General features: G+C 43.3%; 1 protein-coding gene across 8 annotated transcripts in view, besides 1 other annotated feature; it reads left to right on the forward strand.

Moving 5' to 3' along the window:
- Positions 1–14,220, forward strand: part of PRKCH (protein kinase C eta) — a 363,509-nt gene that overhangs the window by 326,371 nt on the left and 22,918 nt on the right. Inside the window, exon 11 of one of the 8 annotated variants that reach the window (XM_047431586.1) lies at positions 11,214–11,366. The exons of the other annotated variants lie outside the window; for them this stretch is intronic. Within the exon in view, the coding sequence (XP_047287542.1) occupies positions 11,214–11,307 (94 nt within the window). The 3' untranslated portion in view covers positions 11,308–11,366. Of the gene's footprint in view, positions 1–11,213; positions 11,367–14,220 lie in introns of those variants that run through there. 8 annotated transcript variants of the gene reach the window in all.
- Positions 11,530–11,679: an enhancer, noted in NCBI's record as "active region_8496". NCBI's record gives its function as "activates an Ori minimal core promoter by ATAC-STARR-seq in GM12878 lymphoblastoid cells {active_cell/tissue: GM12878}" and the evidence as "EXISTENCE:reporter gene assay evidence [ECO:0000049][PMID:35858748]".

Below are 14,220 nucleotides of genomic sequence, written 5' to 3' on the forward strand. Positions count from 1 at the left end.
CATTGCCCTGGGCAGAGGAGGACATATGTGAGGATATAGTGATTGACTGATGTGAGAAATGTGGAGGGAATATCATCGTGTCCCATCCCATCGTTTTACAGATGAGGAAACTGAGGCCCAGAAAGGTGACAGAGCTAAGACCAGAGTCCCTGCTTTCTAACTCGAGACAGTTCTTCTTCTTGTCCTTTGACTAACTCACCTGAACAGTCACCAGATAGCACCAGCATTCCAGCCTGCCTACCCTGCTTCACCCACGCCTACTGCCTCTGAAGAAAGGGAAGAATCTGTGTCCATCAGAACATGCCGGGGATACCAGGACACCAGCCTGCTGCCCAACCTGGCTGACCCGTCTGCTCACGGACCCTGTCTTAATGACAGAAGCCACTCCAAGAGTTCACTGTGTCCTGCAGTAGCCAGTTAAATTCATGTAAATCCTGTTTGGGCAGTCAGTGGAATTTTTAATACTCTTCTCCTTTAAAAAAAAAAAAAAAAAAAGGAACAAAGGTTTTTCTCATCTATAAGCCAAACATGAGCAGGCAGTCACCAAGCAGGGCAAATTGTTATCTCTTGGAATCAGTTTGGTTCTAGACTGGTCTTGAAGGATTGACGCCTGGTCTGGGGTGGACTTGAGAGCCACAGAGTATGCTGTCCTGGTCTTAGGTCATCCCCAAGACAGGGGACCTCTGCAGGCAATAGCAGCTTCACGTTGGCTGTAGAGGTCCCAGATGGGTCCCAGGGTCCCAGCACAAACCAGAATCCACCCAGCTCCCCCCACATCCTCCCTAATCCTTCCTCACTGCGGTCTCCTGGGAACCTGGCCAAACCCAATGGTCAGGGAGGGAGTTGCTGTTCAGATTAATAGCCATTTATTATGGGCCTGGTATTTGCAAAGCACTGTGTTAGGCACTGAAGGGAACCCCGAAATATAAAGATATAGAAACGAAGGCAATGAGTCTCCTCATGGATATTGCATTTTAGGTGGAGAAATAAGTCATATAACAGCCCAGACGGGATTTTGAAATTTGTTCTCTCTGCCTGCCTCTTTTGGTCCCCATGACCAAGGAAGGCAAACACCAGTGCAGTGGCATTGATATAAATTCTTAAATGTGAACATGGCACTTGGAGTTGATTGCTTATTTGTGAAAATACATGATAAAAATATTCATAGATTCAGACATGTCAAAAAGATTCCTTCATTTATCACAGAGTTGTTTATAACAGTGAAAAATTTAAGAAGTCTGCAGGTGGCCTTGCATGGTCTGGGTGTTATCACACCACTGAGTGTCAAACCAGCATCTGCTGTTGGGTATGGGTCCTAAGCAATAGACAGGGAGGGGGTGAAGAACAAGGACTGGCTGTACAGTTGAATTTTATTTGATTACGTTGTGAAGTACAGATACTGTTTCACTTCCTGGGAATTTTGTGTTTTATTTCTGGAGATTTGAAATTCTCCAGAATGGAAATAAAGTTCTCCAGCCACTGTGGTGGTGTGGATGGCAACAGGGTTCAGTGACTTCCCTTATCCTCGTTCAACTTATTCTACCTAGCAGAACCAGTCACCTGTGGTGAATTCAGTGGCGTTTGACAGTCTAGGATGAACCGAATGAACCTCAACTTAAACCAGCTTTTTGTCATTGTACTGACCTGGGCACTTGACACTAAACAGAGATCTTAATTCCTGTATCTTCATGCATCAGAATTTGGTCTTAGTGGAGATGTCAATAGACGACGGTGTTGTGGCTGGTTGGGTTTAACCAGTTCTGGAGGCATTTTGCTCGTTGCCCAAGGTACTGGTGCCAGACCATGTCACTGTATGACCCATCTGGCTTTGGCTCCTGGCTCTATTACCCAGAGAGCAGTTTATAAGCCAGATGTGTCACTTAATAGTAGGCATACCTGCCCAAAATGCAAAAGCTTACAGTAGTTATCTAGAATTTACGAAGCTTGTTTTTACTCTTTATCAGTGTTGATTCTTATAAAAATCATGACAGTAGGCCATGTAGATATTATCTTTCTTGTTGATGAATAAATAATAGCCAAGGGCTCTACAGCACTTAATGCATTCCAGGCGCTATGCTAAACCTAATTCACATTAAGTAACTCATCATTTCTATGAGGCAGGAACTGTTGTTATCTACATTTCTTGATGAGGAAATAAGCCCAGAGTGGTTAAGTAACTTGCCCAAGATCACACAGCTAGTAAAACTAAAACTAAACTCGGCTAATCAGGCTCTAAAGTCTGTGCCCGTAGCCTCACAATATGCTGCCCATTGAAATCAGACAGACAGATGAGATGTGGTATGACCTCCCCAAGCCACTTGGGTAGGGGAGGGAAGCAGATTGAGGGAGGCAACTGTAAAAGCATGGTTGGGAAGTTGTCCTTGGCTCATCTCTCTATATGGCACAGGGCTCCAAACTGAAATAGCCACTATTGGGTCAAGATTAGTCCAGCATTTAGGCAAGAAGAATGTTAGTCCAGTCATCTGCTACTTTTGCTAGCATGTATGGTGGTGACACTTTTTAAACTAAAAGTAACACACATAGGCTAAAAAATAAATTTTTCCTGGTTTTTGAATTCTGTTTACTTTTAAGATCTTAGGAAGTTATAATGACTCACACTTGCACATTTAATAATGACTTTTATTAAGAATGCTATGACACAAAATTAGAAACATTCTTCAGACAGTGTCTCCACGTGTAAGTACTTAAAGAAAACAACTAAATGGCTATTTGGGAAAACTGGGCCCTTTGGTTGCAAAACCAAGTGCTGGGGCCGGAGTGAGTGCTCAAGAAGTACCAGTGAGTTCTCCCAAGGGAAATTTCTTAGGGGAAAATGTGATGTCTTTTGCACATGTTACTATGATGTGAGTCCAGTATTGGTAGGAAATCAGTAAAATTCCCTGAACTTTACTGTGTGTGTTGCCGTCTTGTGTCTAGCCCGTGATTGACATTCTAGAGATAATATGAGAAATATTCCAGACCTGACCTTAGAGTTTGTAATCCAGTTGGGAGAAACAAAGCCTTTTATGCAAAACATAATTAGAGAACCAAGCAATATCATCTATAATCTAAAAGTAAAATGTGAGGTATGTTTTTAATTCCAAGAGCCTGTGAGTGGTTCTGAAGTGCAAGTGTCTTCTTGTGTTTTTCAGAGGTTTGTGTTTAGATGGCTCAGGTTTAATCTCTAATGGGGATAGCAGGGAACCAGATGAGACCTGCTGAGGTGGCCACAGTACTGATTCTAGTGGGCAGGCTGCCTCCCCTCTGATACTGTGTAAGGCATTACTAATGCTGGCAACAGTTTGCATATAGCCAATTGCCAAAAGCAGCCTGCACATCCCTCCTGAGGCTGGTCCCGTAAATTCTTCTCTTTCCTGTCGTAAAGCATTCCTCATCACCACCTCCCTTTTCACACTTTATGCAAGGCCGTGCACTGGGACAGCAAATGGCTGCAACTTTCACTGCTTGCTTTTCCCAAGTCGAAGAAAAGTTCCAACGCTGGCAAAGCAAGGACATTGCTATTTTCTGACAATCGAATGTCTTCGAGGAACTAGCTTCAGTGCTGATAGGGTCTGTGTTCCTCTAGTAAGAATAGCACTGTTTCCATTAGAGGGGACCAGGATGGGTAGACAGGCTAAGACGTCTGATTACTCTTTGCTCTGTGTATTTGTATGACAGCTCGGGTGTCTGGCTTACCTTCCTGAGGATGAGAGCCATAGCATTATCCATTTAATAACAGCCACAGTGACAGTGCTGATAATGGCTAGCATTTACCTAGCACTGTGTGCCCTAGAACATTTAATAGTTTCACTCTATGAACTCGTTTGTTGGTCTTCATGCCATGTGTCCAACATAAAGCTAGCAGGACCCATCTGTCCTTGCCCATGCTTATTCTGTGCCACAGCCACCCCTGGTTGTGATTAAGATATTAATGTTAAAGAGGGAATTGAGTTCTGATTTCTCCTCATTCAAAACCATTCTGTCATCTTCATGCACATGCCCTGCAGGCAGCCAGCCAGTAAGGGGTCCTTCATACCTATCCTGTTCCTGGCTGGTGGCTCTCAGAATCTGCCATGGCTCTTTGATCCTGTTTGTCCTCCTGCCCTTGAGTGACTGGCTATCAGAAAACCTTCATTTCCTTGTTGGATTCTGCCTCCAGGAAGCAAAGCCGACCCAGTGGTTTCTGTGGGTCAGCTGCACTTGGCTGTCTGCACTGGGGAAGAGACTTGGCTTGTTGGCTGTTTTATGCCCTTTGGACTGTCAGGTCCAAGTGTACTGTTGGCCGCAGCATCCAGTCTGTGCTATCAGAGCAAGGCGCTATGGTCAGGAGACCCTTAGCCACCAAAGGTCTGTTGTCTCCTGGTGTCTTTGCCTGAAGACTTCTGGCCTTCTTGTGTTTCATCACTAAGTGCATCTATAAGCTGACCCGCTGCCAGGTATCATGTCTGAGCATTTTGGCAAGGAGAGTCGGTGAGAGAAGTTTTCTTGGCAACCATAAAATAAAAGTACTATCAGGAGCTGCTAAATAAATTTGCACCGCTTCAGCCAGGGAATTTCAGCTCTCCTGGGTGGGATAGTGATAGGGGATGTGGAATGCAAAAAAAAAAAAGAAAAAGAAAAAGAAAAAAAATTATGAGGCTCAGCTGTCAGTTTGATGGCTCATTTATTTGATGGTCCTAAGGAGATGTATGATTGGTACACTGAGGATGTTTATCAAACTCATTTCCTCTTGTATTTGTCCAGAGAGTCAGCGAATGGGGTTTTTTGGGTATTTTTTTCTACCGTGAGACAAAGTGAGGGGAAATCTCTGAGTCCCTTTGCTCAACTTAAGTTGGTCCTGTGTATCTGCAGTGGTGATGGTGGGAACACACTGCCTACATGTCAAGGGCATCAAACACCCAGAACAGGATGAAGACCAACACCTAGTCTATGGGAATTAGTTTGTGAGTCTGTGCCCTGTTTGTTTGTTTCTTTGTTTCATTATTGTTTTTTGAGACAGGATCTTGCTCTGTTGCCCATGCTGGAGTGCAGTAGCACAATCATAGCTCAGTGTAGCCTCCAACCCCTGGGCTCAAGCAATCCTCTCACCCCAGCCTCCCAAGTAGCTGGACCTACAGGAGTGTGCCACCATACCTGGCTAAGTTTTTTAAAAAATTTTGTATAGCTGGACACAATGGCTCACACCTGCAATCCCAGCTCTTTGGAAGGCTGAGGAGGGAGGATCACTTGAGCCTAAGAGTTTGGGACCAGCCTGGGCAATATAGCAATACCCTATCTCTACAAAAAATTTAAAGATTAGCCGGGTGTGGTGATGTGTGCCTGGAGTGCCAACTACTTGGAGGCCGAGGTGAGAGGATCGCTTGGGCCCAGACGGTCGTGGCTGCAGTGAGCTATGATCACGCTGCTGCACTCCAGCCTGGGCTACAGAATGAGATTATGAATGAATGAATGAATGAATGAATGAATGAATGAATGAATGAATAAATAAAATTTTTGTAGAGACAGGGTCTCACTATGTTGCCTGGGATGGTCCCAATCTCCTAGGCTCAAGCAATCCTCCCACCCTGGCCCTGTTTTAAAGAGGGTGAAGTAACCAGATTCAAATAGGAGTCATTTTTGTCATTTCTCATCCCAGGTAGCTGCTGGGAGGAGGTATGAGGGGGTAGTGGGGAAGAGCCTCAGAAGAGCCTTGGCAACACTTTCTGGGCTGGAAATTGTTTTACTGACTTTCTTCATTATAAAATGAAGTATTTTACATTCAGCCTCATAATGATGAATGTTCACATCTTGTATACGTGGTCTTCAGCAAGATATTCCAATAGGTCAGCCTCAGGAACACCAGATTAAGTGTCTGTGAGGAGAAATGGCATAGGGACCTCATTTAATAATTAGGAATGCTGCTGCTTTTAGTAGGAAATTCATTTTCATACTTAAGTTCATTCAGACTTCAGGGACACATTGTGGGGCTATTGAAAATATAAATGCCATCCACGACAATCATAGACACTTAGTAGACATTAAGTAATTTCTGTGGTAAAAAAAAAAAAAAATGAGCTGATGGCAACAAGTTCAATTCTAAGTCTACAAATGTGCAGGTTCTCTAAGCAAACAGGATGTTTTTTTCCAACATTCCCTTGGAGCCTGGGTTCCAAAAGAAATCCTTTGCACTCTGACCAATGGGTCCTTTTCCCTGCACATCTTCCTTGGGAATTATGGCCTTAAATACTACAGAAACCAAAAAAAAAAAAAAAAGAAAGAAAGATTAAAGCTAGAATATGTAAACACATTTTAATGACTTTTTCCTGGTTAACAAAGTAATACATGATTCCTGTAGGAAATTTAGAAAATCCAAAACAGAAAATAAAAATCACCCATAAACATATCACCTGGAAATAGACTTTTATGTTTTTCCTCATCTCCTTTTTTCCTCCTGTCTTTCCTCCTTTTTCCTCCTGTCTTTCCTCCTTTTCTTTATCCCTCTCTGTCACAATTGTAACAAATTAAGAGAATATTGAAAATATAATTTTGTATCCTGTTCTTTCACTTAGAATTGTATGAGCCTATAAGTAAGTCATGAAACCCAGAAGCTGTGAAGGAAAGATTGATAACTGGACTATATCAAAACAAAACTTCAACCAGGCGATAATATTTACAACCCATAGAACCAATATAAAAAATTATTACTATCCCATAATATGAGCTTCTTAAAAAAATCAAAAAGATAAACAACTCAAGTTTTTAAATGGTTAAACCATGTGAATAGGCAAGAAAAAATTCAAATGGCCATTAAACATATATTCTTCTTAAAGCTTAATCTCATTAATAGTCAAGAAATGAAGTTGAAACAATGAGCTCATTTTTCACTGGCGGTTTGGCAAGAATTAGAAGGATGATTCCATCTAGCCTGAACAAGGAAGCCAAAACATTGACACTTTCATGTGCTACTGGTGGGAATATAAATTGATGCAACCCTTTTGGAAAACAGTTTCTCTACATCTGTTTAAATTTAAAATATTTATGCCCTTTGATATGGCATTTCTACTTCTAAAAAAATGTATCCTAAATAAACACTCCCACAAGTGTGCAAATCATGTTCATTACTCCATTGTTTGAAGTTGCAAAAAATTTAAAACAACCCAAATGTTTATGTAGAGGAACTGGTTAAATTGTGGTAGATTTTTACAGTGGAATTGTATGCAACCATTATAGAGAATGAGCCAGAGGCATAGGAGATATAAATATGTCCAAGACAATTGTTGAGAAAAGTATTTTACTGTATAATATTGTGTTAGTGTAGCATTGAGAAGAAAAGTTTGAAAGACTGAACCCATCATCATTTTCTCTATACCTTTTTCAGGAATGATCAATTTTATATAATGAAAATATTACTTTTATAATCAAAAAAACATTTTCAGATAACATTTAAAAATTCTATTATAAACATTTCCTTACATTTTTAGTCCTTCATAAAAATTTGGCAGCTTTCATAAGATTCTGTCATAGAAATACCATTATTTATTTAGCCATTCCACGGTTGATACATAATTTAGCTTTTTTTCAAATTATATATGATGCAGCAACCAATATCTTTGTAAAATAAGATTCTTAATTTTACACTCACAAGAGTATCATATCACATAGCAGAGATTGAGAATTTAACCTGAAAATAATCCATTGGGTGATTCTGAATGTACAAGATTGATGTTTTTCTAATCTTTTTATTTTATTTTATTAATTTTTTTTTTTTAAGATAGAGTTTCACTCTGTTGCCCAGGCTGGAGTGCAATGGTGTGATCATGGCTCACTGCAGCCTTGACCTCCCAGGCTCAAGTGATCTTCCCGCTTCGGCCTCCCAAAGGGCTGGGATTCAGGCGTAAGCCACTGTGCCCGGCCTTAATCTTTTTAAAGCTTACCTGGACTATAGGTGGCCCATATGGAGGCAAAAGATTTGGGCCCCACTCTCTAGGCACACAGCTCTGCTACCCTACTCTAAGTATAATTTGTCACTAGTTTTTGTAGTCTCAGTGTAAAAAAGAGCAGAGATCTTGGCCTCAGGAGATCCTCTTCCCAAGGCTCAGTCCCAGGCTCTCTCCTTATTTCATTCCTTCTCCTGAGGTGAACTCATCCACACCCAGGTAATGACTCTCAAATTTATAGCTCCGAACCAGCCTTCCCTTTGACATCTAGCCATGTGTATTCAGCTGCTTAAATATCTCCACCTGTATGTCTAAAAAAAGTAGCTCAATCTGTCCAAAATAAATTCTGTGATCCAGAACCTGCTGATGCCTCCTTCCCTTTATCCTTTACATCCTTCCATTGCTAAATCCCATTGCTTTCCCCCAGTAGTTCTTGACACATCTAGTTCTCTTTACCTTACCACCCTCCCTATACCAGGCCACCATCATTTATCTCCTGGATACTCTAGTAGCTTCCCAAATGATCTCCTCATGTTCATTCTCAACTCCTCTGATATGGAGTCCTGTAAAATCGAAAATCTAATGCCATCCCTCTCCTGAGTCAGAGTTTTCCATGGTTTATTGGGCTAAAGACTGAAATCCTCACTGGCCCCTGCCTCATCTGGTCCCTGCTCTCTCCTGTCTCCATGCTCTCTTCTCTCGCCACCCAGGACTCCAACCACACTAGTCTTCATTTCTTGACTGAACCCCCTCACCTCTGTTCCTTCCTTCTGAAATTCTCCTTACCCTCACTTTCCCTTCTTTCTGTCTCTTCACTTGGTTAATAATCTTCACAGCTCAGTTCAAATGTCACTTTCCTGGGAAATCTTCCCCCAGTGCTAGGTCAGGCCATCCCTTGATCTATTCCCATGTTTTCTCCTCATTGCACTCATCACAGTTGATAATTGTAAATTTAGTTGTGTGGTGATCTGTCTGCTTCTCCCACCAGACATTAACCCCCTTGTGGGTAGAGATGGTGCCCCCTTTGCTTACTATTGTATCCCAACATCCTGGCATATGGCCAGGCTCATGGACAATACTAAAGAATGGTTGGGTGGGTGAAGGGATGGATATCTCGTGTCAGGTGATGCATGAATGGCACTACTGTCTAACTCACGATGAAACCAAATGTTATGCTTTTGCTAATTCAGTGACTTTTCAAAAGTCTTTTGCCCATTTAATACAATCCATCTTGCTTTGAAAAAACTTTAAGTATAAACCCAGGCACTCAAAACACAAGCCAGTCCTAAGTAGTTTTATTCTAAAATTAAGACCATAACCCACATTCACTCACTTGGCAGATGCCCCCTTTTCACACTTACCTACATGCTAGTTCCTCCTCCTCAGTGGAAGGCAGCAAATGATCTGCACATTTGACCACTTGAGAGATTTGCTGTGCACTCCCCTATGCCTGTATCCTCAAGGACTCTGTAAAATCCATTGAACTCTATGCACAAGCTAAGAAAAAAACCTTGCTTTGCAGTATTTCGATTATGCATTTCATAGTAATATGCATAAAACATCCCTCTATCATAGTGCCATCTTAGAATATTTATTGATTCCCTCAGGTGGTTCTTGTTTCAATTAAAGTCCTTTTGGGAAACAATCTATCCGGGGGATTGGCCGGTGACACTGCTACATAGAAGGGATTGGGCCTGGTGTAGTAAGTCACAAGCCCAGGCCTTGGAGGTGAGCAGAAGTAAATCTGAATCCTGATTTTACCCCTGTCTAGCTATATAATCTTGGGGTAGAGCCTACTTCATAGAGTTATTTTGAGGATAAAATAAGAATATAGATAAAGCACTTAGCATTTGATGAACATTCAGTATATGTTAACCACTGAAGACACTGTTATTCTTGTTATTCACAAAAGCTTTTTTCCAGGTTTTCTAGACAGACCCACAGACTCACCACCCCCAAATGAGCAACAGACAAATGGCAGTATGCTGACAATCATAAATTGACTGTGTATTTTATGATAATGGGTATCAAAGTTGTACTCTATTAAAGAATTATTATCTTTGAGATTCAGATATTAAAATGTGTATAGATGAAATAGCTCATATCCTGGATTTGTTTCAAAATAATCTGATAAAAGATGGATCAGGGAGGGAGGGAGTCGATGTAGCGAGGGAGCATGTTTGGACGTGCATTGGCAGGTGCCGAGGCTGTGTGATCAGTATGGGAGTTGTGTCATTCTCCCTACTTTTGTCTGTTTTGAAATTTCCCATAATAAAAGTTGAAAAATATGTTAAAAATAGTTCATATAAATAGCCTCCTAGATTCATTCTTGTTCAAGGAGCCAGCTCTCAACTCGCTTTCCTTTATTTCTTTTGGAAGAGTAACTGACTCTAGTGATCTAAGCAGTAAGACTCATGTCAATCTGTTTTATTACTCTCAGGATAGCTTATGGTGGAAACAAAATAAATCCAATTTCTGAATCTCCTTTGTCTTCAATCACTTGGGAATTCTCTCTGAAACTACTGTGGGCATTTTAAGTAACCCTGATTACCCAGCAAGAACAATGTAGCTTTCAGACAAGCACAGAGGATAGAATAACTCTTTCTACCCTTCTATGCTTGCATGACAAAAGCTGTAGCTATTAAATACCGGTGCTCAATGAGCTAATGAATGGCAAGCCGGTAACTGTGGTTTTGGCATTTTAGTATTTGAGCCTCTGCCCTGTATGAACTTGTAATCTTCATTGTGTAGCCTTGTTAAGTTCAGCTGCTGAGTTACATGTTGGCATAGGAAGCTGAGGTACTCCTAAGCCAAAAACTGACCTCTGCATATTTCAAACTAAAGTCAGGAGGCTTAGGGTGACTTCTTTTGCTTTAAAAAAAATAAAGGCATGATTTCCCTTTAGAGTGGAAGCTGACCATGACTGTAAATGGCTCTATAATCTTTGGCTTTGTTTGAGTCACCCTCTCCATGTTCTGCTCTTCCGTTTGGATGCAAGCCAACATGAGGATAAGTGTTCTGCTTGGTCCTCGTTGTTTAATAATTGACCCTTCAAAACCACTTTCTTTCTCCAGCTTCATCAAAGAGAAGAATTTAAATTTTGATTTCAGGTTTCTTCTTTTCCCTCTTGAGTCTATCTTTAAGGGGTAAAACATGTGGCTTTTTATAAGTTTAAGTACTTTGGAGCAAAGTTTATGGAGTGTCCTTCCATCCCCTAAAAATAAGATAGGCTCTGAGTTGGCCAGGGCAGTCCCATTGGGGTCCATCTGAAATGCTTCTGTTTATCCCTTTGGTCAGCACCTCCTGCCAGGACCATGCTGGAGCTGCTAAGAAGGAAGACAGGTGCACAGACAGAGCCTTCTGGAATACAGTGCGGGGTATGCTATCATAGAAGTATAAACTGGGCACCCTAGGAGCAGAGTTGATATTGCTATGACTGTCTGGGGACATCAGGACAGACTTCATAGAGCAGGTATGAGATACTTGGGCTGAGGGCAGCACTGGTAGCCTGGAATTACATTATGCTCTTAATTGAACCCTCTTGGGATCCCAGTTTGAGCGATCTGTCTTATTAAATAGCACTTGGTATGAGAACAGCCATGGCGTTTCCTTTACAGCTCATACAGTTCTGAGAATGCCTAAAATTAGATTGAAATCAGGATTAAGGTGTCTAACCTGCCTTTGTGGCCTCGGGCATCCTGTGACCAGGATGAGTCACATCCCTGTCTTGCCCACTTGCGTCTTCTGAGAGCTGCGTCCCAAGACTTCCCCATGCAGAGCTGATTGTAATAGTTGACTGACAAAACTGATGGCCCAGCACTTTCTCTCCCTGCGCGATTCCTGCTGCCCATGACAGCAGCTGAGTAATAAGCAGTCAGACCTCTTACCTGGGACATTAGTCACAAGCTCTTAAGCAACTGCGGGTCAACGCTTGAGACCGTTTTGGATTTCTGTTAGCACTTGTTTCTGTTGCCCAAGAAGATCCTTTCCAAGACTTCAGCAGGCATACTGGCTTCGGGAAAATTCAGAAACTCAGTGACCTTGTTTGGAAATGTGAGTGATAGTGTTCTGGGCTCAGGTCCACACAGGCCTGGCTTGTCAGGCTAGGACACAGTGTCGATAAAGCTGGGCTCATGGGCTTTGTCCCCCCGGCCGTGCTCTCTCCTGGGGCTGCAGACTAGTGTGTCTAACCTCAGCCAGGCGCCTCTCTACTGTGTGCCCGCAGTCCCAGAGGAGCCAGGCACCCAGGCCTTATAGTGCCTCCCAAGTCAGAAAACACTTGTGGAAGAACTGAGAGTGGTGGCCTCCTTCACTGGGCAGGACCACGATCATCCTCACCCCTGCTCCCGTCCTGCGCTGCTACGATTGCAACCTTTTGTAGGTTAAACTGGCTGTGCTCATATTGTATTTATGTGGTGGGGCCAGGGGAGGAAGCAGCTTCCACAAATCAGCCCACTGAAAACAGTCACTTATATGGGACATGGGATTCTGCGTGGAGAAGGGCTGATTTGGAGCCAGGACTGGGTTTGGGTTAGAGACACAGAAAGCTTGCTTCGCTGAAGTGGGTGCACAGGTACTCAGCATGCCTTTGCCTTATGCCCCTGACACCCGGGGAGGCTGCTACTAAGAGCAGAGAAGTCTGTTCTATGTTCCATTGATCTGTGCCATGAAAGCTTTGCTGCTTTAACCACACTTATTGGGGATTCCTGGAATACCAGACTTGGTTTCCATTCCTGGGCATTTTCTAGTGGCCATTTTCTGTAAGACCTGTATGGCCAGGCTGTATCAACTCACAGGACAGCGTGTGGAAACCAGTCATGCCAGTTCTGTCATCACCTACCTCCTCCAAGCCAGCAACGTGATCCAGGCTGGACAGAGACCAACCTTTTGCCTTGGGCCATGCAGGCCAACAGACCTTGATTCTCACACTGAGGCAAGAAAATAGAACCTCGAGTGCCCTGACACAACCCACAGTGAATATGGCACTCCAGAAAGAGCAGTCAGCTGCAGCCACTGAGGAGACGCCACAGCGAGGGGGGCTCCAGGCGGCCCAAGGCCATGGCAGCCTCCCACAATGGCAGTTAACCACAAAGCTCCAGGCCACCTAGCATCCCCCCCGTGACCTGCAGCCTCCTTGTCACTGATCAGCCTATGTGGGTTGCCTCTGAGCATATTGTTCCTTTAAAAACCAAAGTGTAAATGTCTCACCCAAAAGGCCAAGCTGTTGCTCTGTCCAGTCTAGACTGTGCCTGTGAGGCTAGCAATGCCACCCTCCCTCTGTAACAGTGCCCTGGGGTATGGGTGGCAACAGGACAACCAGGTGCTTGTGCTGGGAAGCGGGTTTTTTTAAGAGAGCACTGCCTTTTATTTACAGACAGCTTTATCAGTACATGGCCATGTTCCTGCCGACCTTGAGGACTCTTTACCAAACAATCCTGCTGCTGAATATTCACTTCCTTCCACATGAATTTGCTCTTAGGGATTGGAGGAGGGGTGGAAATGCTTTCAACCAGTCTCCATAATCTAGGCTTCTTGTGCACCTGGGGTACCCACAAACAAACCCTGTTCTCACTCTGGTTTTCCTTTTCCTGATTAACATCCCCACAAACCTACTGGATTTAAGACAAACCCAGAAGTCATCATTTCTGCTGCTTCTCTCTATCCGTCTATCTCTAAGTGATTATCAAGCCTTATTACTGATTTTGCTTTCACCGAAGCCCTGCTTCCTTTCCCCTGACTAACTCCTTATTTTCCATTCCATTCATCACTGTCCTGGTTCAGGTCTTAACATCTCTTCCCTGGACGGTTTCAGCCTCCCCCAACTGATCTTTTCTTGTCCAGCCAGGAATCTGTTACTCCCTTAATGAGGGAGCATCAATGAGTTCCTTTTGCCTAATATGTAAAAATCAAAATTCCTTCGTGTGACATTCAGGACCCTTCATGGTTTGAAGGACTTAACTTTCCTCTGTAGCCCTGAGATTTTTCATGGCCCCAGCACTCCTCTGTCCTGTGCTGCCCGCCCCTCAGCCTCCTCCACCATACCCAGGGTTCTCTGAGTCCACCTGCACAGCCATACTGCTGGGCTTGCTGCCGTGTCCCTGCCCCATCCGCCTGTCCATGGCGGCCTTCTCACTCCCCTTCTCTGCCTGGGAGACTCTGACTCATGCTATCAGACCCAGCTCAATTTCTGCTTCTGCTGTGAGGCTGTCTCTCTCTCCTCCCACTAGAAGGAATTGTTCTCTCTTATGTTTCTCTCGTAGCACTTGGTTCATACCTTCATCGTGCCACTAGGATGATACAGCAA

This window comes from Homo sapiens, chromosome 14 (genome assembly GCF_000001405.40).
Source record: "Homo sapiens chromosome 14, GRCh38.p14 Primary Assembly".
Classification (NCBI taxonomy): Eukaryota; Metazoa; Chordata; class Mammalia; order Primates; family Hominidae; genus Homo; species Homo sapiens.